Consider the following 27,018-nt stretch of genomic DNA (forward strand, 5'->3'; position numbering starts at 1 on the left):
AAAGAGGTAGGAGGAGAGGCAGAATAAAAAACTTGAGAAAAAAATTGGCTAAATATGTTTTAAACTTAACGACAGCCATAATCCCACAGATCTAGGCTGGGATCTGGCTGATAGAAAAGAAATGAAAATATGGTTGTAATTTCTTATACCGTCTATGATATGATATAATATTACTTGAAGGTGGATTGTGATGAGGTAAATTCATACACTATAAATCCCAAAGCAACTACTAGGACAGCAAAGAGTTATACCTAATACCAAATAAACTTATACCAAAAAAGATATGACTAAATCATAAAGAAATGTAACACTAGATTAATAACTAAAAAAGTTATGCATGTACAGATATGTAACTAAATCATAAAAATTACTAAACTAGTCTGAAGGAAGCAGAAAAAGGAAAAAAGCAAAGCAAAGAAGATCTGGGACTAATAGAAATCAAACAGTGTGATGACAGACAACTCTAATCATATCAATAATTACATTATAAATTAAACTGCTCTAAAAACCTCTACTCAAAGGCAGATTGTCAGAATGGATAAAAAAGCAAGTCTTACCTGTATAATGCATATAAGAAATAAACTTTAAATATAAAGACAAAAATTAGTTAAAAGATGAAACAAGATATACCACACTAACACTTGACAAAAGAAGGCTGAGGAAGAGTGGTTGTATTAATACCAAAGTACATTTCATAGCAAAAATATTACCAGCAATATACAATGTCATTTTATAGTGACAAAGGGTTCAATTAATCAAGAAAACATAACAGTCCTAAATATTTATGTACATAATAACATAAATGCTTCAAAATACATGATACAAAAATTGACAGAACTGCAAAAGAAATAGACAAATTCCCAAGTATAGTCTAAAATCTCTAAACCCCTTACTCAAGCCGTATAGGGAGGCAGAAAATTCTGGAAAAATGTTGGCATGTGTACTCACCAGTCTAGACATTTTCCCACTCCCTGTGTATGTATGCTGCTTTAGTTACAAAAAGTTAGGTAGGATCTTGGGAGATTTCTTCTTGGATACCAGAAATATCAACCACATCAAAAGTATACCTAACAACTCTAAAATAATTCTTTTGAACAGATTACCACTGAAGAACTTGTAAGTTAAATCCAGTAGACTTTTGAGTAATTTTACTGCTTGAAATTCTCACATTTAAAAGAAATTTGTAACATCACTTTCTCAGACTCCTCTTCTACGTTTCTTTAACCACTGCTCAGTCTCCTTTACCAAGTCCTTTGACTCTTGTGAAATGTTGATATTCCCAGGGTTTTGTCAATGGCTTTCTTTTTATTCTACATCTACTGCCTCATGGATAAGCTCATTGAGATCTATGGCTTTGCCTAATAATTATAATAAAAGTATTCTAAGCCTGCATCTTCAAGCAGAGTTCTATCTCCAGCTAGAAATGCATATAATCCAATTGCCTACTGAAAGTATCCCACAAGAATGTTTCGTTGAACTCAATATGTAAAGAAAACTGTTGGTCTGTCTCATGACTGTTTGCACTTCTCTGTTAACCTGAGAAATTCCTACTCCTTCCCCATGATCATTGTAAATGCTTGTGCACAATCTGAAAACTTATGAATGACCTGAGATTTTATCTGTCCCCTAGCTTTTTAAACTCAATTATCACTAAGCCATATTAACTGCACCTCTTTTCTGCCTTTGCTTTATCTTTCCAGTGCCACTGGAAATACATACTTATTTATTTTATATTTATATTTCCTAGTTAAATGTGGCCCCTTAACTGATGGCTTTCACAGGGAAAAAAGAAACCCTACAAATTACTGTTCTTATTTTTTAAGTTAAAAAAATTAATCAAAATAAAATAATGCCAAAGAAGGACCTACATGTTTAAATGTGTAAATTGAGCTTCTGAACTTGATTCATTTTACCCTTGATGGATCAAACTTTCATAATAGATTGATACTAGGCCACAGATTTGTTACAAAAAAAAAAGACCATCGCATGAACTACTACAAAAACTTCATCTTTAAATCTTTTTATGTGATTATCCTCCATCTATCTTCTATATGAAGGGCCAGAAACTATAGGCCACAGGCCAAATTCAGCTTTCTAAATGGTTTTTTATACAAACTTTTATTGGAGTACAATCATGCCTCTTTGCCCATCCATTATCTATGACTCCTGTCACCCTACAATGGCAGAGTTGAATAGCTGTAATAGAGACCACATGGCCCATCATATTCGCTATCTGGCACTTTACAGGAAAAGTTTGCCAATCTCTGCTTTATACCATGACCAGAATGCCCTGATACTCAAATCTAATCTTGTGATTCCCCTGCTCAAACTTTTCCACTGTGTTCCTGCAGAAAACATTGCTGGCTTCCTATGCATAGTCATTATTTATTCTTTATTGCTGTAGAAACACAAGTTCATTTAGATATTTACTATTCCGTTACCCCCATCCAATCTTAAAAGAAAAATCATTATTCTAAGCTAATCACAGTAATTACATTTGCTTTCCTAGTGATTGGTATAGAAATAAGCATGTGGTATAATCCAGCCAATAAAATGTTACAGGAAGATTACTGCAAGCTTCCAAGTTTTCTTCCTATTTAAAAAAAAAAATGTGAACAAAAGCAGCACCCCCAGCCTTCAGATATTGTCTTGAGTTAGCATGATGATTGGAGCTGTTGCTAATTAGCCAACCAAGAAAGGAGACATGGACAAAACACTGCCGATAGCACAACTAATAATGGGGGTGGGGGGCAGAGTGAGATCCTATAGTATCCCTGTACCACCAAAAAAACTTTGGTTTCTATGGTTTTAGCAATTGTTAGTTAGTTCATCTAATATTTACAGCCAGAAGTATTCTGGGAATTTTTCCAGGGCCTATAGAATAAGATCTACTCATTTCTACACTATTAAAATGTGTTGCCCAAGCTTGCCTTATCTAGACATTCAAGCCATTCCCGACTACTCCCATACCACACTATTTCCACTAGGGAACCCAAAGTGCCAATAAACTCTACAAAGTTCACTCAAGCATCTTACCATGTGTACTTGCTTTTGTAGCTGTTTTTTTGTAGGACATGTGATCATCTTAGATGTTCCTTCTTCCAAAACTTCAGTTTTATTAGATGTTACTCCTGCCACGCATTCAGTCTTTACAGATGTTTCTTTTTCCTCCCATGTGGTCTTTGTAGGTCTTTCTTGTGGCCATGCAAATTTCTCAGATGTTTCTTTCACAGGCCTTGTAATTTTCCTAGGTGTTTCTCCTGCTGACTCTTCAATCTTTCCAGATATTGTTTTCCCCAAACATTGAACTTCGTCAGATGTTCCCTCCACCAAGGGTGCAGCTTCGTGTTGGAAATAACTTTTTGGTGCCACAAAGAAGAGTTAGCACTCCAACAACAAGTTAACACTCCAGCAAGGCAAATTTACTTCTATAGAAGGGTGAGTCTTGCAGATGGAGCAATGGCAAGGGCACACTGGATAAGGGAGGGGAAAGGGTTCTTATTCCTAATACAGATAGTCCCTACTGCTGTATCTTTCCCCTATTGGATAGGGTTGTACTGCACACTCTAAGCTAATTTTGACTGGCTACTTCAAAGAGGACAGGGGTGCAAGCCAGAGTGGCGGGGTGGGTAGTTTCCTCAGGAAGGATGGTTACAGAGCAGGTGACTAAGGATGACTAAGAACAGAGCAAGTGACTAAGAATGACTAAGGACAGAGTAGGTGATAGGGACTAGGAGGGGGTCATTTACTGAAACTAGGGGCAAGGAGGCATAAAGAATGAGGAAGTTAAACTTTAAATGGAGAACAAAGAACAGAGAAGCTGAACATACTGACTTATTGACTCTTTGAAGAGGAAATGAGAACTCACTGTACTTAACAATCTTCCCTCTCTTGAATTTTAAAGGATGTTAACAGGCTAAAACCTTTGAAGAGTAATTCACTGTATTCTACAATTGCCTCTTTCAATTTTTATAGCCCTTCCTCTTCAAACCTTTTTAGCATGTCTTGGATTTTTTTTTTCAACTTGATCCTCTAAAAGGAAAAGCCTATCTGAATAAGGTGGAGGACAGCTAAGGGAGGTTTTAGAAAGTGTTGTTTCTATAAGCCTTTGCACTAGCCCATGGATGCATGGTATGACACAACACCCAACAAGAATGAGTACACCAATTACTGCTGTAAGAGAAGTAAGAATTGAGGCTACAATTTCTTTCCATTTACTGAACCACCTTTCTAGCCATCTTGAGAAAGGGTTATTGACTCCAGAATTTTTAGCTAATTCATTGGATAAAGTGGTAAATCCTTGTAGGGCCCTTGTTATGCTCCCATTGGGGGCAGTGTTGTTTGCCCCCAATGGATAAAGGTACAACACTGAGTTTTAATCATAACACAAACACCACCATTTTCAGCTAATATCATAACTAGGGCCATTCTGTTTTCCCAGGCCATCTGGCTAGTGGGCCTCAATTGTTCCGCTATTCCTTTGACAACACCCCTGGTGTAATTAATAAACCACTGTTGATTATTATAGATTTAATTTATCCAATCTACATTTTTATTGTCACATACCAAAATATCAATTCAAATCCGGTAGCTATTTGAACTTGGGCTTAAATATATCTGGTACTCCTCATGGGATTCCAATAGCATCTAAATAAATGTGGGAGTCAAAAGACCCATAAAGGACTTCCCTTGCTTTACTATGTTGTGTTTTCCCTTTTTCTGGTTGATGAAATGCCAGAGTGAAAAGTATAGCCAACTGGACTAGAGCACCAGCGCTGCTCCAGTTACTTGACAGAGTGTCCTGTAAAGATCCACCACAATACCACCATAAATCTGCTCAGGATTGTATAAGGGCTGACTGATTGGTAAGCTCTTGGAAAGTCTTAAGCTTACTGCATCTTTTAGGTTTCCAAGCAAAGCTAAGTTTCCTCCTTGTTGTGAGAGACATGAAGTGAACTTAGTGTCAGGAGAAGGAAGCTGGATGGTCCTTGGGGGCTGACCTGCAAGGTGTTGAACTTTGGGATAGAGCAGAGAGAGAGATTGACATGACTTGTTACACCAGGCTGTGGAACCCTGGAAAAGAGCTACCATACAGCCCATGCCTCGTTGACTGAAGGACCATCCTAGTGGAAAGGGAACAATCTGGGCCTCTGGTCTGCTGTGTGCACAAGCATAACAATTGCTTTTGTTTAAAGTGCGAATGGAGTATTTGATCCATTCCAACCAGGCATTCACATCTTGATATCCTGTCTCAGTTGCCAAAGTTTGTTTTAGGTCTTTAACTTTTACAATAGCTACCTTGGTCTTCTCATTAGATGGAGGAGGAACAACAGTTTCATTGTGAGAGTTTTTGGAAGAAGACTTAGGGGAAGCTGTAAGCAGTAGGGGAGAAATGAAGCATATTTCAAAGAACCAATAGGGTCTGTTTCTGAAAACTCAGCTCCCATATCATAAAACCAGCTTAAAGAAGGGAATTCGCTTAGAGAAGGGGAAGAACTTTGAAGGTTTGAAATAATAACCTGTATTGAGTTGCACTAGTTTACCTGAAAGTTAGGGGGAGCTATATCTTTAGTAAAATGAAGGTATGGTTTTAGAAATTACAACTACTGGTTGGGGCAGCCATCCTTGCTCTCACTTGCATGTAGTTGGACCAACTACGTCATAAAAGCTCTGTGTCAAGGGGGCAAAACTCCCAGTTGACACTGGGGTCTTCATTGAAACTTTCCCAGACTAAATGATCCAAATTCACTAATGTCCAGTCTGAGGACAGCCAGGAAGTACAGAGGTACTTTTCTGAATTGGAGAGCTGTCTTTGACCTGACAAGTCTCCACAAGGTATAACAAGGCAAGCATCAAATGTAACAGTTTGAGGCAAAATGGGTTCCATTTTCTGAGTCAATGTTTTCTACTAGCCTAAACCTGGGCACTATATTTTCAATTAAGGCCTTAACTACATTATTGGCCATCACATTTGAAAAGGGAATAGCTTTGACCCAGTGAGTAAGGTGATCTACTGTCACTAGTAAATATTTTAGACGACCTATTGGAGGCATCTCTGTGTAATCAATCTGGATACTTTAAGTCTGGACTCCTTCTCCCAAGGGGTAATCTTTTTATAGTTTGTTAATTAGTTTTCTTACATACTAAGCAACTCTCTGTAACCTGTTTGGCCAGAGTATAAATTCCTATACACCCAAAAACTTTCAGAACAGTGTCACACATGGCTTGGGACCCCCAGTGGGTCCCTTGATGCAGTTGGGACAAGTTTTCCCTCATAAGGGGTTTGGACAACATTTCCCTCTGGTCTGGCAATATCCATTTTTCTTTTGAATTCTCCTTAGCACCTATTTTTATTAGTTTCTCTTTTCAGTGGAAGAGAAAATGGAGATTATGTTAGGAGGAAGAAGGTAAAGAGTTCAGTGAAAAATAGATGTTTTAAAAGAAATGGCAGCCTGTTTGCCTATGTAATCTGCTGGGTTATTTCCTAGACTGTCAAAAGAAAGACTTTTCTGGTGTCTGGGTCATGGACAGTCACTATTTCTTCTGGCAACTGAAGGTTATTCAATACTTGGGTGAATATCTCCTTATGAAAAAGATCTTGACGTTTACTATTAATGAGACCTCGTTCAGTCCAAATTTTTCCGAATGTATGAGCCACTCCAAAGGCGTACTTAGAATTGGTATAGATGGCTCCTTCCTGGTTCTGCAAGTACTTTAAGGCTTGGCTGAGTGCAAACAGCTCACAAGTTTGGGCAGTCCAATTCTTAGACAATTTTCCTGCCTCAATTTCTTCAAGAGTTTCTCCATCAATTACTGAATACCCATTGCATCTTTTTGCCTCAATCACCTGGGAAGAACCATCTATAAATAAGTGTCATCCCATCCTGAAGGGAGTTTCTCCTAGGTCTGGTCAGACTTTTGTATGGTAATCAGTTAAATCTAAACATGTGTGCTATCTCTTTAGATTTGGATCCCCTATTAGAAAAACTGCTGGGTTAAGGGAATTATCAGTGGTTAATGTTAAATCATCTTTTTCTAACAGAATAGTCTCATACTTTAAGATTCTTGAGTCAGTAAGCCACCTCCCTGCTATCTGGTTTAAGATAGTTCTAACTTGATGGGGCATTCTTACTGTCAATTTTCCTCCAAAGGTTAACTTCCTGCTTTCTTTGACCATTAGTGCTGTAGCCACAATGGATTGGATGTATTGAGGCCACTCACAAGTAACTGGATCTAAGACTTTTGACAGGAAGGCCACCATGGGCTGCCGATGGCCTCCGTGTTCTTAAGTGAGCACTCCTAAAGCTACCCCATTATCCACATTGACAAAAAGGTGGAATGGCTTTTCTAGGGAAGGTAAGGCTAAGAGAGGGGCTGTTATAAGCCTTTTTTTCAGCTCTTCAACCTGATCGACTTCCTCAGAAATCCACAGGAAATGGTCAGTCTTCCCCTGGGAAAGTTTTGGATATAGAATTTTACTGTTTAGTGCATGTGAGTTAATCCATAAGCAGCAGTATCCAACTAACCCTAAAAATTTCCTGAGTTCTTAAGTTTGAGGCAAGGGTAGGGACACGATTCCCTCAACTCGTTCAGGCCCTATTCTTCACTTCTCTGCACTTATCAAGTGGTCTAAATATTTAATTTCAGGTTCTACATACTGAAGCTTTCCCTTTGAGACTCATAACCCCTCGAACTGCAGATGGTTGAGAATATGTGTAGAGAAGCCAGCTACCTTCTCTATATCTTCACCAGCGTATTGGAGCAGGCATATTTGTTTGGGATGATAACTTTTTCTAATACTTGTTCTAAAATTTGACTGAAAAGGTTAGGGGAGTTTGTGAACCCTTGGGGTAAGACTATCCATCGATATTGTTGTTTCTACCCTGAATGGGGATCCTCCCACTCAAAAGCAAATATATCTGGCCTATCTTCTGCCAGGAGACATGCCCAAAAAGCATCCTTCAAATCTATTACAGTAAACCATTGATTATTATATGGAATCTTGCTGAGAATGCTGTAAGGATCGAGGACAATGGGGTGGGTAGTTTGGACTATTTGGTTAATAGCCCTAAGGTCCTGTACCAGCCGGTATGACCCATGTGATTTCTTGACTGGCAATATTGAGGTGTTATAAGGGGACATAGAGGGCTCAAGAAGCCCATCTTTAATAAGACCTTCAATTATAGGTTTCAACCCTATCCTGCCCTCTAGGGGAATGGGGTATTGTTTCCTCCTTACTACTTCCCTGGGGATTTTTAGCTTCATGTGCTTGGAGGGACTCAGAGTTTCTCTCAGTTTCCTTCTTTGGATCAGACATTAGGATTAATATATTTTTCATCTGCAGTGGTGAGTAGCTTTAATGAAGTGAGGAATCCTCTTGGGCTGAGCTGCAGGTCTATGCCTAACTTCAACATTAAATCCCTCCCTAGTAAATTAGTCCCTGCTTTAGGGATTAACAAAAACTGAATATGAGCTGATTGAGCCTGGTATCTGACTGCTGTGTTTTCTAAAATTTTTGCTTTAAATCCTTCTCCCTTTACCCCACAAACCAAAAGTTCCTCTGAAGAGCAGGCAATTTAGATGGGGGGAAAACAAACAGAGGATCGAGCCACTCCTGAATTGACTAAAAAGGTTATAAACTCATGCTTAGGTCCCACTTCTAGACTTATCAAGGGCTCCTGGTGGAACTCAAGATAAAAGAGACAGAACCCCTGACCCCATTATTCTTCCTCAAAAGCCATGAGTGGAAGGGCTTCTTTTTCCTTTTCTAATTTGGGACATTCTCTCTTGAAGTGGCCTGTTCTTCCACATTTGTAGTGCCTACCTTGCCCTTCCTCACTCTCAGTTCTGGGATTCTTTGATTTTACTCCCCCATACTATTTAGATGGCCTGGTAGATGAGAGCCTTGAACCTCCCAATGGAGGCTTGGGTCCTTTAAAGGAGGGTTTGGAACCTTTATAGTTTCTGGCCCACTGGAAGCTTTGTTTAGGGGTACATGGGTTTGGAGCGATCTGTTAGAAGGTGAATAACATAAGTTTTGTCTTTTGTTTTTGCTTTTCTTCGTCTCTCTTTACAGATACTTTTTGAGTCTCTCTGAGAAGTTCACTTGAGGTCAGTTTTCCCAATCTTCTAATTTTTGTAACTTTTTTGAAATATCTGGACAATGTTGGCCAGGCACAGTGGCTCATGCCTGTAATCCCAGGACTTTGAGAGGCCAAGGTGGGTGGATCACGAGGTCAGGAGATTGAGACCATCCTGGTTAACACAGAGAAACCCCGTCTCTACTAAAAATACAAAAAAATTGCTGGGCGTGGTGGTGGGCGTCTGTAGTTCCAGCTACTCGGGAGGCTAAGGCAGGAGAATGGAGCAAACCTGGGAGATAGAGCTTGCAGTGAATCAAGATCGCACCATTGCACTCCAGCCTGGGTGACAGAGAGAGACTCCATCTCAAAAAAATAAAAGGAAATATCTGGACAACTTTTAGTGACAAAATGGAGCTTTAACATTCCCTGTCCCAGGGGATTTTCCAAATTTAGGCCTGCATATTGTCTCATTTGCTCCTTTAGTCTGTCTAGGAATTTCATAGTCCACTCATCTCTCTCCTGTTGTATATCAAATGCTTTAGAGAGATTTTGAGTTTGGGGTACTGAATCCCTAGTTTCTTTCATTATCATTTCCCTTATGTCTTGCATGTTTTCTTGGTGAGCTGTGTTTTTATTATCCCACTGGGGATCTTGGGCAGGGAATTTTTGGTCCGTGGTAGGAACGTTTTGACAAGGAGGGTGTTCATATTCCCAAATTGCCTTAGCAGCCCTACAGATCAGATCATTCGTCTTTCCTCCTCCGAAAAGAGGATGCCTAAGATGGACATAAACTCGACCCAAGTGTATAACTGAGGTCCCAAGAATTGATCAACCTGATTTGCCACCTCATAAGGGTCGTCTAACAATGGCTTAATTTCCTTTTTCAAACTTCAGGCTTCTGAACTGGTCAAGAGAGCATTCACAAATACAATGGTTCCTCCTCCTAGTGGCATGTCTTTTAAGGGGAAGAGAGTTGGGGCTGACTCCTTATGTGTGGAGAGAAAAGGGAAGTTCTGAATGTCCTTTTTACATTGCTGTACCTCATGCTGGAGTCCCTTTAGGGAGAGGTATTTAGGTTGACAGGGGACAGGCTCATGGGATGATAACTCCCAAGAATTAGATGTAAGGAGGAGGAACAGCTTGAGCAGGAGAAGGATCTGGGGTGGGATCTGGGGTGGCAACAGCTGCCCGAGGGGAAGGGACAGAGGCACTGAGCAGGGCAAAATGGTATAGGGAATCCCATGTGCTGGCTTTAGGTGTGGGAGTCAGCTCATCTGACTTTTCAATTTGAGAGCTGGATCGGGTTCTTCCCTAGTTGTCTTTAAGGGAATAAAGACAGGTCCCTGTCTCCATAATCTAGTTCTTGAGAAACCAGATTTTTATCATTAACATATTGAATTAGAAGTTGACACATTACATCCTCATTCAACCCAAACTTTGGCCAGAAGATTGAGGGTTTGAAAATGGGACCTTGGGTCCAAATGAAACAGCAATATTTTATCCTCTAATGCTTTTTCTTATGTTTAGTCCTCTCATTATGCTTCCAATATTTTAACATGAGACCCAGGGGACTATCAGGGGGCATGTCTTTGTTACTATCCTCTTCTTTTTTGCGCCCTGTCTTTCTTGGGGCTTTTCCCATGTTAGGTCCTGGTTAGGCTCAATCCCACATGCTAGAGATTTCTTCCCTATCCTTTAACGCCACCTGCTGGAGGCTCCTTGCACGCTTCTTTCGCTTCATCCACTCTGGTTGCTTCTCTCCCAGGAATTTTAGGTCCCTCTTAGCATTCGCATCATGGTATAAACCTCACAGCAGGATCTGCCCTGAGCCCTATGAGGATACACTGAATTCCTCTTCAAAGGTTTTTTGTTCAAATAAAAAAACCGCAGATAGGACCCACTCACTCCTCACAGCAATAATGCTTAGTATCATCTACACAAACAGCAACACAAGCAGTAGTGCTTGTGATCATTCACACACACTTTCGACCTCCAGAATATCCTGACCACCAAGGAAATACTTTGTCACCCCTGCTACATTTCTTACCTCGGTCTGTGCACAGTTACCTGGTCGCCACGGTATGTGAAGATCCTTTCCCCAAAGATGCTGGCCTGTTTCTTTCCACGTTGCTGAGAGCCCAGGTTTATCAATTGCACCAGCTGAGTCTTGATTCCTTACCTTTATGGCCACTGCAACGAGGCAGCGGGGTGCGCCTCCTCACAGGAGAGGACTGGACCCTCCCCCAGAGGAGAATGGGAATGCTGGGTGGGCCCCCACATTTGTGGAAAATAAATTTTCAGTGAAACAAAGAACAGTCAGCACTCCAGCAACAAGTTTTTACAGCAAGGCAAATTTACTTCTATGAAAGAGTGGTCTTGCAGATGGAGCAATGGCAAGATCATACTGAACAAGGGAGGGGAAAGTGTTCTTATTCCTAATGCAGCTAGTCCCTACTGTTGTGTCTTTTCCCTATTGGATAGGGTTGGACTGCACACTCTTAGCTAATTCAGATGGGCTATTTCAAAGAGAGCAGGAGTATGAGCTGGAGTGGCAGGGTGAGTACTTTCAGCGGGAAAGACAGTTACAGAGCAGGTGTCTAAGGATGACTGAGGACAGAGCAGGTGACTAAGAATGACTAAAGACAAAACAGGTGTTAGAGGTTAGAAGGGGGTTGTTTAATGAAACTAGGGGCAAGGAGGCATAAATAATGAGGAAGTTAAACTTTAAAACGGAGAACAAAGAACAGAGAAGCTGAACATACTGACATATTTACTCTTTGATGAGGAACTCAGAACTCATTGTACTTAATCTTCCCCCTCTTGAATTTTAAAGGATTTTTACAGGCTAAAATCTTTGAAAAGGAATTCGCTGTATCCTATTCCTCAGGTGTTCTTTCCACCAAGCTTTCAGCCATGTCAGGTGTTCTTTACGCCAAGGGTGCAGCCTCGTCAGGTGTTCCTTCAGATGTTCCTTCTGCCAAACACACAGTCTGGTTAAATTTTCCTTCTGCTAAATATCATCCTTTTGACTCTTTACCTGGAAAACTTCTACTCATTCAGCTTGCTTTCCTTAAACACTACCAAACTTTTGTTTTCTCCTTTTTTTTTTTTTTTTTGAGACAAGAGCCTCGCACTGTCGCCCAGGCTAGAGTGCAGTGGCATGATCTCAGCAGATCACTGCAACCTCCGCCTCCTGGGTTCATGAAATTCTCCTACCTCAGCCTCCCATGTAGCTGGGATTACATATGCATGCCACCCAGGCCCAGCTAATTTTTTGTATTTAGTAGAGATGGGATTTCACCATGTTAGTCAGGGTGGTCCCAAACTCCTGAGCTCAAGCAATCCGCCTGCCTTGGCCTTCCAAAGTGCTAGGATTACAGGAGTGAGCCACCGCTCCTGGACACTACCAAACTTTTTAAAGCTTAAATTCTTCACGTTGGATATAAAATGTCTGACACAGACTGAATATGATAATGACATAATAAGTGATAATTATAAGCTCCCAAAGGGGTTCTGGCACAGAGTAAGCACTAAATAAAGTAGTAAATAATAAAAAAGATGATAATAACAAGAAAAATGCTTAGTACCTTAATAAAGTAGTAAATAACAAAAAATGACAATGATAATAACAAGAAAGATGCTTAGTACCTTAAAGATACCTGACAGTTATTTGTTAAGTGGACAAGTGGATAAACAAATAAAAAACATAGTTAGGAAATTCTGTTGGAAAAATGCAGAAATTCAATAGAGACAGCTCTATTGTATTATGAGCACCTTAAAGACCCAGACTATGTGTATTCCATCTTGGTCTCCTGCCACTTGCAAAATCTAACTTATAGAAGTCCTTTGATAAATATGTAATAAATTAAAGATGTGCTCATACAGTTCATATTGTACAATGTATTGTTTCACATTTATGTATCACAGTAGCACTTTTGTTATTGTGAAAATTTTTTCCACTTTTATTATAATTTGTTGAGCCTAGAGTTGAGCTAGTTGAATATTTATAATGATACTATTTTGGCTAGTAGGAACAGAGTAACTTGTTGTACCAAAATTACTATTAACACACTAATTATCCAGCAGATAGAACAACACATCTTGTTCTAATGAAGTAAATATATCTTATTTGGTTTCAACTTAGAGGGAATGAATTTGATAATAGTGAGACCTTGTTGGTACAAGACTATGTAACATAACCTGCGCTTCTCAACAAAGAATTGCTTTTCTGACTTCTGCACTCAGTAGGTATCTTTGAAAAATAATCTCCTATTGGTACTGATGCACCCTCACTAAGTTATGTTAATTCTTATTGACATTCATTTATGGTGCAAGAATTTTGAGTTCCAAATTCTAAAGATAGTTACTTTTTTAGTGACACAAGTCACTATGCCACACAGTTGATCTTTGAATAAGGGTTTTCACTCTAGAAGCCCACTAATAGACAGATTTTTCTTTTCCTTTGCCACTGCAAGATACCAAGACAAATCTCTCCTCTGCCTCCTCCTTATCAGCCTACTCAATGTGAAGGCAATGAGAATGAAGTCCTTTATGTATAATAATTCACTTCCATCTAATAAATAGTGAATATATTTCTTCCTCTTTATAACAGCTTCTTTTCTCCAGCTCACTTTATTCTAAGAATACAATATATAGTACATATAAAATAGAAACTATGGGTTAATTGACTGCTTATGCTTTCACCTTTTTTCAGGCTCCAGGTCAACAGTAGAAAATTAGTAGAGTTTTGGAGGAGTCAAAAGAAACAGATTTTCATATAAAGCAGATTTTCAGCTGCATGAGGGGATCAGCACCCTAACTCTCATGTTGCTCAAGACTCAACTGTAATTAATTCTAATTCTCTAAATGCAAATCATTTATTGTAAAAATTAAATAAAGCACAGAAGTTCGAGACCAGCCTGGGCAACATAAGGAGACCATGTCTCTACAATAAAGAAACAAACAAATAATTTATTTTTTATTTAACAAATAATCATTTTATATGTTTGTTTATGTTTAATAAACAAACAAACACTTGTTTATTTAACAGTTTGTTTAACTGTGTTCCTTTATAGGTTATAATATTCAAATGTTGCAGTTTTCTGTTATTAATTCCTACTTTTCATTATTAGATGTTCTATTATTTGTGGCTTGTAATCCAAGGCATCTAAGCTAGTTTATAATTTGTAATAAAGTTTATTTATGAATATATTAATTCATTAAATTGGATAAGCTGATAAACCCCTATTACTGAGCTCATCAATCACACCAAGGATTATACATTTTATAACAAGCATAAATTGTTATGACAGTTGAGGAAACATACAATATATAAACTTAAAAATTGTTTTACTCATTTATACAAAAGTTTTATATAGGATATTAGGGACCACAATTAAACAAATATTTTTTCAGATAATATTTTTGAGATTATAAACCACCTAAAACTAAATTCTTTTTTTTTTTTTTTTACTAGCAAGATTTATTGCAAAGAGCGAAAGAACAAAGCTTCCACAGTGTGGAAGGGGACCCGAGCGGGTTGCCCAACTAAATTCTTAATTCTGAATTATAAACTAAAAAATTAAATCAAAGCTATGTATATATAAAAACACTTACATATAGGTATATATGTAAACACATGCTACTTACACATTGCTTTTTTAATAGTTCTTTTGTGATCAACACTCCTATAATCTCATGGTAGCACCACCAAGTGTAGTTTACTATCAGAGGTCTTACCTGGATTGCTATTTTGAGAATTTTTAGATACCTTTTGTTATATTCCAAAAGTTGTTGATCAATGCTATGTATAAAAATGAAATAAATAAAATTACTATTTTAACATTGATATAAAAAACATTTACCAAATTTATTAAGTTCTTAGAGTATTTCAGACAATATTAGATCTAACATCAGAACATTACTTTTTCCATAGACTTTAAGTTTGTAAGCTCTATGAACTTATTAAGCTTCTAATTAAAGAAGAAGAAAGATAAAACACTCATGAAGTGAGGGCAGTGTAACTTAGTAAATTAACTAGAGGTAGCTTGACATATGAAAAATGTCCTTAACTCAGAATAAATCCTAGCATGGCTACCAACAGGTATTTTTTCTTGAACAAGTTGCTTCCTTAGACTCAATGTCTTCTAACAATGAGGATTTTAGGGCCTTATTTCACTATGTTATTATAAAGATTTAACAAGATAACATTTTTAAAATTCTTAAAATAAAAAGTGAAGCAAAAACATAATTTGTTCTTGAACCTTATTGCTGAAACTATTTTAAAATTCCCAATAAAACCCAATATATTGGCCTGGTGCAGTGGCTCATGCTTGTGATGCAAGCAATTTGGGATGCTGAGATAGGAGGATTGCTTGAGTCCAGAAGTTCAAGACCAGCGTGGACAACATAGGGAGACCATGTCTTTACAAAAATTAAATTACAAAAAAAAGAAAAAACAAATGTGTTTCTTCATAGGTTATAATATTCAAATATTGCAATTTTCTGTTATTAATTCCTACTTTTGGATATTAGATGTTCTATTCTTTGTGGCTTGTAATTCAGAGCATCTAAGCTATTTTATATTTTGTAATGAAATTTATTTATAAATATATTAAATCATTAAATCAGATAACCTAATTATACTCTATTACTGAGCTCATCAACCACACCAAGGGCAGAAAATAATAGATGTCAGCATCTGGCTTGGACTACTGCTACTCTTTATCTACCTCCTTAAACTCTGAACCAACAAATCTTTGTTAGAATGATGCTTAGTCACTATGTTCATTTCCAGCTGCTGTGGAAGACAAAACGCTACCTTTATTTTTTGTAAGTTCCACAAAGAAGATGCAAGTTGGTATTTTCTCATTTCTGAGATCCCTACTAACAAAATATTGCACACAAGATCCTATGTGTTACCACATCTCATTTCATAGATCACCTTACATAAATATTTTTTTGTATGAAAATCACAATTGCAATACTGGGTGTCACCCATTTTGCTTTGACTCACACCATTTCCTTGGAGCTAGTTAGAAAGGAGTAAAATGTCCTTTTGGGGACTGCAAGAAATATGCAACACTTTACAGATTTCTATGTCATCCTTGTGCGGGGACCATGCTGGTCTTCTCAACGTTGTTTCAATTTTACTATATGTACCACTGAAGCCAGCACAAATCCTTACTTTTATACATGAAGACTGATCAGTGATGGATGAGGCTTAGCTCTGTTAAATCTAACCAACTTACTTGAGATTTAGTGAAGTCTATTGAATGGCTTCATGGTGATGCAGCATTTGAAAATATTTAAAAAACTCGAGGTAGAGATGTAAGTAGCATGGGAGATTTTTACTTTTAGGAAAAAAGAATCACTTGAAGGGACAACCACAAGTTGGAACCCACTACAACTTGGGAAAGATGACATGGGATTTTACAGAATAAGGTGAGACCTTCCACTACCTACAAAATGGTGCTACACAGGATATAAAGGACCAGAGATATAGATCTGGTAACAAAGACAAAATGGATCTCTAATTTCTTCCTGTAACATTATTTCAACCTGAGTTACAGTTTCAAACTACCACAACTAATATTGGCTAGAGAAAATAGAAAAAAGCCAATCAAAGGATAACTTACCATGAAGGTCTAGGCCATATCCAGGCTAAGATGTGGGTTTCACGTCAGGTTTTGAGTGTGAGAAGAAGGGTCAATTTGCTCACTATGTGTGTGGCTAAAGCTAAAAGTTCTAGCTGCCAGAGTGGGGTGCTGGTACTTTGGAAACAATGGCTGAGAATATGTACGTGAACTTTAAAAACATGTAATAACTTCGAAGTCTACACCATGAAGGCTGAGAGATCTGCGTTACTAAGGGCATCCTGGTCACAAAGGTCAATCATTACCAGACTGCAGAAGCAGTTTCAATGGCAATGATGCAGCAACAGAATCAATGGAAACAACAAAATAAAGAGAATGGCCATTTCCCAACCCCCCAATCCTTCTGACTTGTACAAAAAGAATGTCTTCCTTGGACTTAGGTTCAGATTCTTTTAAAAGATTCAAGAATGAAGGTATGGAAGACAGCCCCCAGGGGACACTGTCAGGTTTTCTGCTTAAAGTGGACATTTTGAGACCCAAATAACTAATTAGAAAAACCAAAATTGTGACATTATGTTTATCCCATGCATAGGGGTTATACTTCAAATCAAGTAGACAACATTAGCATCCCTAAAGCCCTAAAATAAAGAATCCTGGAGCCATTACTCCTTCTAACTAGTATAGCTTTTTGCCTGGTTTCTGGCTGATGAAGTGAACTAACTCACTGTCATTCAAAAACTACCTGAAACAAACTATAAAATCTCACCTAGTCTTTAAATGTAAACACTTACAGATTAAACCCACAAGCAACAGCATAACGTTGCAATCATTCCACACGTATCTTCAGCACAGATGTCAACATTTTGCTGAAGAACCATGCCAACTATCTCTGATGATCCATGGCATATGGCAAGCATGAGGGCTGTGCTAAAATAACAAAGAGATAACTTCATTATTATGAACAGAACCAGTTTAATATGTGCCTGTCAGTGTAGAATTAACCATTTACATGTATTAACAAATGTTAAGTATCTTGAGTGCTCAAGTGTTTATCTTTGTAAATCACGACCAAGGCTAAAAGGAAGGGGTGAAAAGACTCATGTCTCACTGGGACATGGCATAGTAGTACTGCACCTTCTCTTGTAAACATTCAGCCTCTGCATCACTACATCAACTCTGGTTATCTCCAAAAATCATTATACTGTAATGATTTTATTGTTTCCCATGTAAACCAAGAGCTTCTTGAGGGCAGGGTCTGTATCTTTTACCTCTATATAATTAAACCCTAAGACATAGTAGTAAATATTTTATTTTTTACTAAGTTAGTAATCTAAATTATTACCTCTAGAACAGTGTTTCTTCAACTATATTCCAAAGAATAATTACCTTACCAGAAGCACTGTACCCCAACAGATTCCACCATTATCTATGTTCAAGAAATGTTATAAAACTGTGAATTAAATGTTCATTATTCAAGAAATGAATTGAACTTTACCTAATCCCTATTGACAGTATTTTTTGTGGCAAACATTAACATTTGACAAATAGAATTTCAGGGATGCAGTTCTGAAAGCTTCCCCCCAAAAATGGAGGTTTCCTCTGGGTGATACAAACTCACTTGATTCTCTTCTGTCAATGATCCCAAGATTCCAAATGCCAATGTCAGGCACTTCTGCTCTAAATGGGTCAATAAGGAAGTGGCTCTAAATTAAAAGAGGTTGGCTTCAAATAAACTTTGATTGCTCATTATTAAATGGTCCATGGGGTTTATCCTATTACCAGACAATAGGATTTTATCTCAGCTATTAGAAATTCAGTATAAAAGCCCAGGTGAGGTGGTTCATGCCTGTAATCCCAGCACATTGAGAGGCCAAGGCAGGCAGATCACAAGGTCAGGAGATCGAGACCATTCTGGTCAACATGGTGAAACCCCATCTCTGCTAAAAATACAAAAAATTTAGCTGGGCATGGTGGCACATGCCTGCATCCCAGCTACTTAGGAGGCTGAGGCAGGAGAATCGCTTGAACCAGGGAGGCAAATATTGCAGTGAGCCGAGATCACACCACCGCACTCCGACCTGGTGACAGAGCAAGGCTCCGTCTCAAAAAAAAAAAAAAAAAGAAAGAAAGGAAAGAAATTCAGTATAAAATTTTATTCTCTATTATAATGATACTCCTAGGATCCTAATGCATATCTACTTCTTAAAATGCAATAATCCATTTTTATTCTGGTTTCTATTGTAATTGATACTATTTTTTGGCAAAATATCAGAAGCATGAATAAAATGGCTTATTAATGAAAGTTCTAACTCATGTATATGGCTTAGCAAAATAGAAGCCACTAAATAACTTGAATTTTAAGGGACAATTCTGCGGAGAAAGATATAATATTTTCTGCAATATGCATAACCTATTCAAATATAACCATGATTAATCTAAGAAGGCTTAAAGGCCTTCTAATAGAAGATGATTATTTATGGTTTATATGAAGAAAAATAATCATTTAAAAAATATTCTAAATTCTAGAAGACTACCCCATTATTAATGAATTAATGTAAAATATAAACTATATATTATAAACACCTATAAACTGTCTTTGATAACTTGAAATCTTTACCAAAATATACTATGAGAGAGGAATTGATAACTGAAATATTTACAGAGGCAAAAGAGGTCAGTTGAATAAGTGATGTAACTAGGTGGGCACAGTAGCAAACTGGAAACATATGCTTTATGTAAAGCTAGAATGTCTTCATAGCATACCAAACAGTCATATGGGCTCAAGAGACACCAGATTCAATCCTTTAAGAAGAAATCCAGATTTCTGCATGTCTCTGAAATTTTACATGTTGACTCAATTTATGCAGGCAAATTTTAATTTCCTGTAGTTTTACACTAACTGGAAAGAAAAAAAAACTTGGGTGCTAAAGAATATTTGAAAATGTTTTACCTTTAACAAATTCAAATATTTATCATAATGCACAGAAAAGCCATACTAATAGTTCTTGTAAAAATATTAATATTTAAAGCAAAATCCTAGACAATTAAGTTTTGTCAAACTATTTTCATAGAAAAATAGGAATGTTTGAGCTTCCAAATATAAAACAATTTACATATGTTAATGTTAAAACAAATGGATTTCAAATATTTTGAAAATAGCATTGGTTAACGTCTACCTTGTTCATCACTTCGATGTCTGCACCTTAGGACAGCAATTTTGCCACCACTGACAAGTTCTCACTATAAACAGCATAATGGACAGCTGTGTTGCCATACACATCTACAATATTTGGATCAGCACCAGAATCTATGAGAATATTTGCACAAGCCTCCCTCTGGCATTGCAGAGCCTGTTAGTATTAAAGCAAGAAGTAAATTATAAATTATAGGAAATATAAATAAATATTCCACAGGTTTCACAAACTAATTATATTTCAATGAGATAAATTCATCTTTATTCTATGTATTTAAACCAAATCCATCTCCTGCTGAAAGAACTGGCTACAATTTACCTTCATCAGAGGTGTCCTGTTTTCACCATCAAGGACGTCAACCTGGCGTTTTCTATCTACCAGTAGTGTTACTACTTCTGCGTGGCCATTGGCACAGGCCCAGTGTAGAGCAGTCCTACGAGAGTGAGAGGACTTTTTAGGAAATTTTAGTCCACTGTCTCAAAACATATAATGATTTATGTAATTGTCAACATTAAATATCATGCTCTTTCTCTGCCTTCAAAACAAATATTTAATATTCTCCTGAAGAAAGTACAACATTCATTCGCTCTTATTACTCACTACATTAATGAAAGAGTGGCCTATTTGAATAGAAAGAGCTTGGCCTTTGATTCAGTTCAACATGGGCTTGAATATTACTTTAAAGTCTTTCACCTTCTAGCTATCACTTAACCTTTCTGTGCCTCAATTTTCTCATCAATAAAGTGAAGATGAATACAGCAGTTATCTCACAGGACATCACTGTGATGCCTCATGAGAATCTGTGCAACGTTTTTCAAAGAATTCCTAGCACATGTAACAGCTCAGTAATTGTTAGATATTGTAATTATTTCTACTACTTAACAAAGAAAACATTTTAAGTAAAATGGTACAATTATGCCTACTTTGTGGTATGTTTTAAAGGTTAGAGATAAACCTGTAGTTTAATAATTCTAAGATACTCTATTTCTCATATTTTAACATCTCTGACATTGAAATGCCACTTATAAGTCATTATTTGTTACAAGTATATTCTGCAGAAATTTAAACAATCTTTTATTGTTACATAAATAAGGAGGCATCACACAATTCATGGTGCCTTCCATGAAGTGGCATATGGTATATACAACAGGATGATGGCAGTCCTAGTCATAGGATTAACACTTAAAGAAATTTTAGCTTTTAAGAGTGCTACACAAAAGGAGAGTTGAAATAAAAACAAACTGTTAAAACAAAGTACTTCTTTAATATTTTTAAAACTTCAAGCCAAAGAAAACTTGGGATTAAAGTAGGTATGGATCATTTTATTCCATATTTAGATTTATAGAATGTATGTAAATTCATATTTAAATTTATAGAATGCATGTAAATTAGGTATTTCCAATGATTAATATTACTATTTAAAGCTGTTATAAATTTCCAAAATCATGGTTGGTAGTTATCTTTTACTAGTTTCTTACTTCAGAAGTGTTTTTGTTTTAAAGATGAGAGGAAAAGCTTCAATTGAGATTCAGTCCTAGTACTCCAACTTTAAATCTCTCACTTTGCTAAGGCTGAGCAGGTAAATGTAAAATTTTTAAGGATGAAAGGATTTTGAGAGTTAATGTATCTTCTACATAATAGGCATTCAGCTTACATGTGATAAATTGATTAAAAGGATAAATACAGTTGAGAAGTTCAATACCTTAAAAAAACTGCTATAAATAAAGCACTTATATTTTCTATTTTATTTTCTTAATAATAAAACTACACTAATTAATCTATAATTATTGACATATATGTAATAAATCTATATATAATAAAAATATGTGTCTAATAAGATGTATATGTAAATCAACAAGCACAGGTAAAAAGATTGTCTTTTGAAGATGCTAAAAGTTCACAGAATATACTAATTCACAAAAAATAAAAATTAAAGTATGGAAAGTGAGAAATTATTTTCATTGGTGCAAAATTATATTCCTGCTCTTCCCAAAAATTATTTCATTAATAATAAACTTTTTCTAATAGCATTGTACATGCTCAATGTGGAAATCAAAGATAATAAAAAGGAAAAACATTTTATATTAAAACAAATGCCCTCAAATAACAAATTTTATCAGGTTTCATACACAATTTCAGATAACACAAGACTGTAGTCTGTGTGTATGTATAATCAAACTGAACTTTACCCTCACTTGATACACCAAAATACATTTTCAAATGTCACCTACTTCTCTACATATTTCTACCTTCAGTGGTCACATATTATCCCATGCTGTAAATTCACTGAAATGTATTTATAAAAGTCATTATATGGATTCTTCTTAATAATATGGTACTTACCACCAAATTGTCTATTTGAAAAGTTATCTGCAACTTAAACTTTAAACAGCAGTGTAAATATCACTGCTCTTTTTCCTCATAAACTTTGTAGATAGAAAGCAGTGTTTGATTCCTCTTTTAACTTAAATGCCTTCTGTAACCAGGAACACTAAATATTGTTTTCTGTGTGCATAGGTCACTTGCAGATCTTAAGAAAATACTTTTCCAATTTTAAATTAGAAGCAAAGTACTATTTTTAGACCTGCAATTTAGATCTCTAATTTAAATTGCTCAATTTTAAATGAGGGTTTTTTGTTGATTTAAGTGAATTATCTATAAAAGGACGATTTTTAAATCTAATATGTATACACACACGCACATACATGTGTAGTAAATATTTTACAAGTATGCGGCCTTTTATTTTTTCTCATTACAGTTTAATTTAATTTTGTTTTGCTTAATTATCCTTCAGACTGCTTGCTTCTGAGCTTCTTAGAAAGGTGTTGTCAACATAAAAATGTACCTGTGTAAATAGGCATTTATGTTTTCTTCTGGTGCTTTTATCATTTTGTATATTAAAAAAATTAATCTATATTCCGTTAGAAATTTACTTTGTGGCATAAAAATCTAGTTTTCTCCAAAAAGCAGGCATTTCCCTTATGAAACTATTCTTTCCCTACTAGTATAAAGTGTGAGCATTATCAAGTTCTAAATTCTTAGATATTCGGGTGTTTCTGGATTTTCTACTCTGTTGTATTCATTTACCTGTCTTTTCAGCTGTTATCAAAGAATTTGTGATTTATGTATTTATTTTTGAGACACAGTCTCACTCTGTCGCCCAGGCTGGAGTGCAGTGATGGGATCTCAGCTCACTGCAACCTCCACCTCCCAGTTTCAAGCGATTCTCGCTCCTCAGCCTCCCGAGTAGATGGGCTTACAGGCTACCGACATCGTGCCTGGCTAATTTTTGTATTTTTGTAGAGTCGGGGTTTCACCATATTGGCCAGGCTAGTCTTGAACTCCTGACCTCAGGTGATCCACCCGCCTCGGCCGCCCGAAGTGCTGGGACCACAGGCATGAGCCAGCACGCCTGGACTTTTTTTTTTCTTTTTTCAAATTTTATTTATTTATTTATTTATTATTATTTTGAGACGGAATCTCGCTCTGTCACCCAGGCTGGAGTGCAGTGGTGCGATCTCGGCTCACTCCAAGCTCCGCCTCCCAGGTTCACACCATTCTCCTGCCTCAGCCTCCCGAGTAGCTGGGACTACAGGTGCCCGCCACCATGCCCGGCTAATTTTTTGTGTTTTTAGTAGAGACCGTGTTAGCCAGGATGGTCTTGATCTCCTGACCTCGTGATCCACCCACCTCGGCCTCCCAAAGTGCTGGGATTACAGGCATGATCCACCGTGCCTGGCCGTGGCCCATTTTGTGCAAATTAATAGCACATTTTGAAATCTAGAAGAGCAAGACTTTTCTACTCCGTTAGAAAAATTTTTAAATGTCATCACAGTAGTAAAAGACAGAGTGTGTAATTTTAAAAATGTTAAAATGTTGATGATTTTATTTGGTTTATGTAAAACTGATAAAGAACTTGCATCTTGAGAAAAATGAGTCTTCTTAAATTCGAAAACATAAACCATCTTCCCACCTCAAAGTTACCTTCTAAGGTCCCTCAGCAAAGATTATATTTACATAGACATTCATTGATATTGAAATGGATACTGGACTTTATCCAAAAAATTTTTAGCCAAGAAGTTAATATATTATGGGAATTATTTCATTATGCACCATTTCATAATGTATCTAACGTTATCTTTTAAAACCTGTACATTAAAAGTAAAACCCTGTATGTACTTAATTTTGTAAGTTAAATCACTTTAAAATTCTCTACACAGTGCTCTGTGAGAGGAAGTGGGAGTGAAGGAGAAAGCAGCTAACTAAAGTTTGAGGTTGATTTTAAGGTGGCCTGGGCCCTCCACCCTGCAGGGCGCCCCCATCCAAGGCCTGGGGGGCCTGCCCGGGAAGAAGATCAAGACCTCGGGGCCCAGGACAGCCGCCCCGCTGCCCGCCACTCCTCCACCTGCTCCCCTCGTCCCCAGGACCCCCAGCCCCCACTCTGAAGGGGCGATCCTCCCACAGCCGCCTCCTCCTCCTGCAGCCCCGGCTCAGGCACGGTCTGGTACCTCTTCTTCGCATCTCTTATGTTCAGGTCCATTGTCGTCTTCTTCATCATCCTCTCCAGCTTCCAGGCTTGGCCACGGGAGGCAGCTTTGTGGATCTTCCTGAGATCCCCATGGTGAATCACGTAAGAGCCATTGTTGGTGTAGACCAGCTGACTGAAGGGGCTCCGGCGCTCCGGGCCCGTCTGGCCCTTGACAGCGGCGGCAGAGAGCCTCTCCATGGCTGCAGCCACCTGCTAGACAGAGCGCGCACCTCCCGCTGCTCGCCCTTCCCCAGTCCCCGCCGCTCGCCCTCGCCCTTCTTCAGTCCCCGCACCCGCCCTGACACCAGTAGAAATCTCAGTCGGGCCAAGCTTTTGGACACTCCAGCCTCTCCTGGGAGAAAATCGCTGCGCAAAACCATTAGGCAGCTGAGCAGAACCGTTAGGCAGCTGAGCAGAACCTTTAGGCAGCTGAGCAGAACCGTTAGGCAACAGAGCATGCGCAACTCAGCAGACCGGGGAGACAGGCGAGGCGGGAAACCGCCCGGGCTACGCTTCGCCCAGCACCGCGTGCAGGTGACACCTGCCACTGAGGTGCTGTCGGGCTGGCGGGGCTCCCTGGAGCGGAACGTGGGGGGCTCCCTGCCACACGGCCTGCTTGACAGAGCCGCCCCTGGCCCCTCCTCAACCTGAGATCCAGGAGCTGGGCCCTGGTGCTGGGCATCGTGCAGCCTCTGGGGTGGCGCTGAGCGTCGGTTCCCGCCCTCCTGCAGCCAGGGACCCAACCACTGACTTAGGCGCCCTGGAGGCTTCTGGCCCAAGTATCCATGCTGCTGGTGGCGCTGGCAGGGTCGGGGTTGCAGCCTCTGCTGCCAGGTGGCAGCTGCAGCTGAGCCCATGGTAGAGGCTACAGAGCTGGGCCCAGACCACTGAGCATTGCCGAGTACATCGCCCTTCCACCCGGGGCTCTGCTCTTCCTCAGCTCGCGCTGGCAGTGCAGGCTCGCCACCACTGGGCCCTGTACAGCTGCGGCCATGAGGCTTTGCGGCAGGTTCCCACCCTCCTGCAACTGAGGTCCCACTGCCTGACTTAGGTGCAGTGGCGTTGTCCGACCCTGGGGTTCGCCTGCTGGTGGGGCGGACATGTTCTGGGGTTGCCACTGCTGCTGCCACCTTCAAATGCCAGCTGCAGCTGAGCCCATGGTAGAGGCTGCAGGGCTGGGCCCGATGGCCTGAGGGTCACTGAGTGGCACACGCCCTCCCACTCTAGGCCCTGCTCTTCCTTGGCTCGCGCCCTGAGTGCTGGTTTGCAGGCTCTGGGGACTGTGCAGTCGCCAGGATGGAGCTGAGTGGCAGGTTCAGCGCTGCCTGGGCCCAGAGGGGAAGAGGGGAGTTTGGGGTTGCTTGGCCGTATTTGCCTGTGTGCCAAGTGCAGGTAGTGGCTACAGTTCTGACAGGCACGGATGGCCCGTCCCGTTTAGAGGGCTTCAAGGTTGCTGAGAGCGCCAGCTGCCAGGCCTCAGGATCCCTTCCTCGTTGAGCAGCATCTGGAGTATGGCGGTGGCGCTGGGTAATCTGCAGCCATCCTGGTCAGTCCCTTGGACTGAGAGGGAAACTTGGCTGAGTAGAGCAGATGGAGAAACAGTTAAATTGAACTTATCTATAAAGACTTCCAGGCTGGGTGCAGGACCTCATGCCTGTACTTACAGCACTTTGGGAGACCGAGATAGGAGGATCGCTTGATCCCGGGAGTTTGAGACCAGCTTAGACAACACAGAGAACGTTCATCTCTGTAAAAATAAAACCAATCAGCCAGGCATGGTGGTGCATGTCTGTGGCCCCAGCTACTTGGGAGATAGATTGTGGGAGGATCACTTGCACCCGGGAGTTCGTGGGTACAGTAAACTGATTGTGCCACAAACAAGGAATGAGAGGTCCTGTTGCTCCACATCCTTGACAGCATTTGACTTTTTCAGTCTTCTGGATTTTGGTTATTGTTTGATTGTTTGTGCCGCTGCACTCCAAGCCTGGGCAACAGAGACTCTCTCTCTCAAAATAAATAAATAAAATACTTCTAGTCACTATATCATATTTATGTCGAATTCTTTACACATCAAGCTTGAAGAGTTAAAACCCACAGCACCCTCTGATTATGTGATAGGGACCATGTGATTAAAGTGGGTGACCATGTTCTTGCCTCCAGGGGGCCCAAGTCAAGGGATGGGTCCTCAGCTGCAGGAGAGTGGGAATGGATGCTCAGCACCACCCCGGAGGCTACACAATGCCCAGCCCCAGGGCCCAACTCCTGGATCCCGGGTCATGAACAAAAACCCAAGAATTGAAGACTTGAGTGTTAGATGTGCTCATTTCTGCTGGGATATCATTGGTTCTAGACTGTCTTAGCTTACAGAGCAAATAAATAAATGTGTGTATACAAAGCTGTGTATAGACATAACTATAAATATTTCTAAATGTAATGTGTGTAAGTGTTAGTTCATACTGATGTCTACGACTCAATTCTTTTATCACATGATCATTCTGGCCTTCTCCCTTTGCTTACATGTAACCTACCACTTTAATAGTGAGAAACTAGACTCCTGTCATTTGTCATCCATTTGCTTAACTGTCTAGTTCCAATATACATTTATTCTCTATCAATAT

General features: G+C 39.0%; 2 pseudogenes across 4 annotated transcripts, besides 1 other annotated feature; both read right to left on the bottom strand.

Moving 5' to 3' along the window:
* Positions 1-11,414: 11,414 nt before the first annotated feature.
* LOC100132004 (ankyrin repeat domain 30B pseudogene) lies at positions 11,415-24,838 on the bottom strand (annotated as a pseudogene). Of its 4 annotated transcripts, none has more exons than XR_007061504.1 (5): positions 24,381-24,838; positions 20,191-20,305; positions 19,855-20,028; positions 17,470-17,605; positions 11,415-12,057 (listed from the first exon to the last, which is right to left on the bottom strand). The product of XR_007061504.1 is annotated as an ankyrin repeat domain 30B pseudogene, transcript variant X2 (transcript). The 4 variants fall into 4 exon arrangements; XR_001746457.2 differs by lacking the exon at positions 11,415-12,057 and adding an exon at positions 14,540-14,886; XR_007061505.1 differs by lacking the exon at positions 19,855-20,028 and having other exon boundaries at positions 24,381-24,618.
* Positions 11,630-11,739: an enhancer, noted in NCBI's record as "active region_28422". NCBI's record gives its function as "activates an Ori minimal core promoter by ATAC-STARR-seq in GM12878 lymphoblastoid cells {active_cell/tissue: GM12878}" and the evidence as "EXISTENCE:reporter gene assay evidence [ECO:0000049][PMID:35858748]".
* Positions 16,153-16,259, bottom strand: RNU6-156P (RNA, U6 small nuclear 156, pseudogene; annotated as a pseudogene).
* Positions 24,839-27,018: the final 2,180 nt, after the last annotated feature.

The sequence above is a fragment of the Homo sapiens genome, chromosome 9 (assembly GCF_000001405.40).
Source record: "Homo sapiens chromosome 9, GRCh38.p14 Primary Assembly".
Taxonomy (NCBI): Eukaryota; Metazoa; Chordata; class Mammalia; order Primates; family Hominidae; genus Homo; species Homo sapiens.